General features: G+C 38.4%; 1 annotated feature.

The window, feature by feature from the left end:
* Positions 4,635–5,198: an enhancer, noted in NCBI's record as "OCT4-NANOG hESC enhancer chr8:49442616-49443179 (GRCh37/hg19 assembly coordinates)". NCBI's record gives its function as "activates a minimal SCP1, AML or CMV promoter by ChIP-STARR-seq in primed H9 embryonic stem cells {active_cell/tissue: H9 hESC(primed)}" and the evidence as "EXISTENCE:reporter gene assay evidence [ECO:0000049][PMID:30033119]".

Genomic DNA, 5,401 nt, shown 5'->3' with positions numbered 1-5,401 from the left:
TGTGCAGCCATGACCACCCGCCATCTCCAGAACTTTTTCATTATCCAAATCAAAAATTCTGTACCAATTAAACAATAATTCCCCATGATTCCCCCCATTTATACCCTAGCAACTGCTATAATACCTTCTGTTCCTATGAATTTGCTGATTCTGGATACTTCATATAAGTAGACTCAGACAACATTTGTCCTTCTGCATCTGGCTTATTTCACTTAGTATAATATCTCTGAGGTTCATCCATGTTGTAGCATGTACCAGAATTTCATTCTTTTTTCAGGCTGAATAATATTCCTGTATATATGTATACTGTATTTTGTTTCTTCATTCATCCATCAATGAACACTTGGGTTATTTCCACCTCTTGGCTATTGTGAACACTGGTGCTATGAACATTGGTGTACAAATATCTGAGTCCTTGCTTTCTTTTGGATATATACACAGAAAAGGGATTGATGGATTATATGGTCATTCTGTGTTTAACTTTTAGAGGCACCTCCATATAGTTTTCCATGGCGTCTACACCATTTTACATTCCTAGCAACAATGCTGGTAATTGCAGTTCCAGTTTCTCTACATCCTTGTCAACATGTTATTTTCTGTTTTTCTGATAGTAGCCATCCTAAGGATGTAATGTAATCTCTACATCCTTGCCAACATGTTATTTTCTGTTTTTCTGATAGTAGCAAATTTTTTTATTTGTGTTTCCGTAATGGTTGGTAATATTGAGCGTCTCTTCATGTGCATATTGGCCATTTGTATACCTTCCTTAGAGAATGTCTATTCAAGTTCTTTGCCCATTTTTTTAATTGAGTTGTTTGTTTTTGTTGTTGTTGAGTTGTAGGAGTTTATTCTGGATATCCATCTCTTATTAGATATATGATTTGTAAATATTTTCTTTCCACTTTGTTGATAGTTTCCTTTAATGCACGGAAGTTTTTAATTTTGATAAAATCTAACTTATCTATTTTTCTCTTTTGTTGCCTGTGCTTTTGGTTTCAATATCCGAGAAATAGTTGCCAAATTCAATGTCATGAAGTTTTTCCCGTTTTCTACAAAACTGTGTTTTATAGTTTTAGCTCTTATGTTTAGAGCTTTGATCCACTTGAGTTAATTTTTGTATATGGTATAAAGGTTCAACTTCATTCTTTTGAATGTAGCTATCCCATTTTCCCAGGATCACTTGTTGAAAAGCTTGTCCTTTCCCCATTGAATGCTCTTGACACCATTGTGACCTCATATACATTGACTATGTATATATGAGGATTCACTTCTGGGCTTTTTCTTTTGTTTAATTGGTCTATATGTCCGCCTTTATGCCAGCACTACACTGTTTTGATTACTGCAGCTTTGTAATAAGTTTCAAAATCAGGAAGTATGAGTTCTCCAACTTCGTTATTTTATTTCAAGATTGCTTTTGCTAGTCAGATTCCTTGAGCCTCTATACGAATTTTAGGATTAATTTTTCTATTTCTGCAAAAAAAAAATGCCTTTAAGAACTTGATAGGGGTTGTAGAATTCACATATTTTATTCAATTTATTAACAGTAAATTAATTTAGTTGACAATATTAAGTCATTCAATTTATAAACACAGGATGCCTTTCCATTTATTTCTGACTAATTTCTTTCAACTTTTTTTTAGTTTTTGATCTACAATTCTTTTGTCTATTTGGTCAAGCTTATTCCTAAGCATTTTATTCATTTTGATATTATTATTATAAGTAGAATAGTTTTCTTAATTTCTCTTTCAGATTATTATTGGCAGATAAAATCACAAGTGACTTTTGTGTGTTGGAGATGATTTTTAAAATGTGTCAAGAGGTTAGGTATCACCAGGAAATATCCCTAACAAGAAGCGGGGTTATAAAGCACTGCGAGACTCACCTTTTTGCAGCTGTCTGTCTATATATTGGAGGCCAAAGAAGGAAAAAAGATAAACCACTTATCCTACATAAGAAGCCAATCTCTCATGGTATTTTTTTATTTAATAGTGAGCATCTATTATATATCAGGCACTGTCCAAAGGCTAGGGGTTGGGAGGTGAACAAAACAAAACTTCCTGCCATCGTTGAGTTTAGAGTCCAGCGAGAATAATAAAAAATAAACAAAATAGCCAAGTAAGAGGCAGAAGGTGCAGAGTGGTGATGCATGCTACTTGAGACCACACAGCAGGAAGGGGTAAGACGCTCTTTTCCATGGGGTAGTCAGGGCCCACTCCTCGAGGAAGAAACGTCGGGCGAGGCCTGAAGGACGCGCTAAGCCGCAAGAAGAGTGGGAGGAGCTCGCTGGGGCCTGCAAGGCGAGAAGCCTGGCTGGAGCGGAGTGGGCCGATGGAGTGAGGCAGCTGTGGGAGGGCCAGCGGACCTTATGCCCTCTCTGGACCCTACTCTCGGGAGCGTGTGAACTGGGGCTAGAATAGGGGATGCCCAGGAGCCCCTCTCCATATTTAGAAGCCGTGGCCCTCAGGCAGATGAGGAGCCCTGGTTTCCTTATATTTAAATATACCTCAGAAAATATGCTGCCTGGGGGAGGATCACACAAAATAATGCCTTGGGAAACACTTTGTAAAGAGCCAAGTTCTGTAACTAAGAGAGTTACAAGGTTTTGCGCCTTGCGGTGCAAATTCTGTAGAAACAGAAGCAAGCCTGTGCTCCTGTTTTCTGGGTTACCTTTTACCAAATGGAGGTTTGATGGACTAAACTAAGCATTAGTGATATGAGGACCAGGATGCCTGTGAAACATGCAAGGTAAATGCTCAGGAGAGATGTGAAGGACTTCCCATTTTTAAGACTCACACGGAAAGCTGTGTTAAAGAAGAGAGTGTGGTCTTGGTGAGGCATAGACATGTAGGCCAATGGAACAGAATGCAGAGTCCACAAATAGAGCCACACAATCGTGACCAAATGATTTTTGACAAAGGTGCAAAGGTAGTGCAATGGAGAAAGGGTAGTCACCTTCACAAATGAGGTTGAAACAACCAGATATCCAGGTGAACCTCAAATTAACCTCACAATTCATACAAAATTTGCCTCAAAATGGATCATAGATCTGCATGTAAAACATAAACTATGCAACTTCTAGAAAAAAAGCATGAAGCAAAATCTTCATGAATGGAATTAGGCAAAGAGTTTTTAAATGTATCACCAGAAGCATAGTCTATAAAAGAAATAAAAAATTGGACTTCACCAAAATTAAGAACTCTTGCTCTGTGAAATATACTGTTAAGTGAGTAAAACAAACATTGTATAGATTGGGGAACAATATTTGCAAATTACATATCCAAAAAAGTATTTGTACCCAGAATATGTAAAGAACTCTCAAAGTGCTGCATAAGAAAACAAATACCCAATTTTTAAAAAATATGCAAAAGGCCAGGCGCGGTGGCTTACACCTGTAATCCCAGCACTTTGGGAGGCCAAGGTGGGCGGATAATGAGGTCAGGAGTTCAAGACCACCCTGGCCAACATAGTGAAACCCTGTCTCTACTAAAACGTACAAAAATTAGCCGTGTGTGGTGGTGGGCACCTGTAGTCCCAGATACTTGGGAGGCTGAGGCATGAGAATCACTTGGACCTGGGAGGCGAAAGTTGCAGTGAGCTGAGACTGTGCCATTGCACTACAGAGTGAGACTCCATCTCAAAAAAATAAAAATAAAAATAAAAATGTGCAAAAGACTTATCATTTCCCCAGAGGATATACAGATGGTAAATAAGCCCACCGAAAAGATGTTCAACATAATTCATTAGGAAAATACAAATTAAAACCACGGTAAAGTAACACTACGCACAAATTAGAATGACTGAAACAAAAACTGCTGACAATACTGAGTGCAGGGGAGGATGGGGGAAAACTGGGTCTTTCATACATCGCTGGTAGAGTGTAAAAGGGCACAGCCACCCTGAAAAAGTTGGGCAGTTCTTACAAATGTAAAAATATACTCCTCAGTGTTTACAGCAGGAGTTGGAAAACTTCTTAAAGTGTCAGATGGTAAATGTTTTAGACTCAAGGTCTTTGTCACAGAAAGTCAACTCCCCGGTTGTAGAATGCAGCCACACAAAGATACATGAACAAGTGGGCATGGCTATATTTCAGCAAAACTTCACAAAACAAGTGGAACTTGTTTTTGCTTTGTTTCATTTTGTTGTTTTTTATGGTTTGTGCAAACTTCAAATCGTTTTAACATTTTTAAGTGGTTATAAAAGTTCCTGCATAGTAGCCTCGATTTTGAGTTGTTTTGTGACCTGAAAAGCCTATAATATGTATTATCTGACCATTAAAAAAAAAAGATTTCCATCCCTGCTCTAGAGAAATGGAAACTTATGTTCACCAAAAATTTTGTAAATGGATATTCATAGCAGCTCTAGTAATAATCATGAAAAACAGAAAACAATATAAATGTCCTTTAACCAATGAATAAACAAACTATGACACATCTATACAATGAAATACTAGTCAGCAGCAACAAGGAACAAACCACTGATATCCTCAATCACATGGGTGAATCAGAAGATGCCAATATCCAAAGTTAATTCCTCCATTTTATGATATTTCAAACCATGTCTGTATGCTGCTAGGCAAATAATATTTATTGTAAGTTTCAATCTATCAAGTACAATATCTCATTATTTTAAAGATGCTCTGAATCCAGTGTGGGGACAGATTTGTATAGTCTCTAATTGTAAGACTGGAACTCAAAATGAACTAGGCTCAGAATCAACTCTGGCATCCCTGAATTTTGTTACCTTATACAATTAATTTATTTGAATCTCTGTTTCCTAAAATGAAAATAATAATAGCTTGAAGAAGAAGAAGGAGGAGGAGGAAGAGGAGGAGAAGCCACCGCCAATATCAAGAGGTTTCTACCTGTATGACCCTATTTACATGACTGAGCAGACTGATGGCTTTGGGGTGGCATGGGGGAGGGTGTGATCGCCCCAGGGCAGCTCAGGGCCTCCAGGTGCTGCAGCTACCCTGTGTCTTGCCTGTAATGAGACAAATCTACACGTGTGTTAAGGCTCATGGGTGGTGCACACATGCAGAAGAACTTGGCTCTACTGGATGTTAACTTAAAATTCAAAATTCAAGATGTGTTTGTAACACTGTCGGCGTGTACCTCTTCAATATTCATGCATTCCAATGCCTGCCTTTGTTAAAAGCCACAGAATGCAGCAGGAAGGGAGACAGGCTGACAGACACCATTAAGAACCTTGAAGAGCTTCTGCAAAGAAAGAACCATGATGTCAAAGACGAGCTTGCATGAAGGAGTAAGACATGGGGGAAAACAGTCAGACTTTAGTATTTTTTGCCCTGCTGCTAGGAAGCACCTCGCTGAAAAGTTATCATGTATGGCAGTGACGATGCTAAAAGTTCAACAAGGCACCAAGGAATGACAACTCAGACAGG

The sequence above is a fragment of the Homo sapiens genome, chromosome 8, assembly GCF_000001405.40.
Source record: "Homo sapiens chromosome 8, GRCh38.p14 Primary Assembly".
Lineage (NCBI taxonomy): Eukaryota > Metazoa > Chordata > Mammalia > Primates > Hominidae > Homo > Homo sapiens.
Note: the sequence above shows the minus strand (reverse complement) of the source record. Positions and strands in the feature narration are given on the sequence as shown.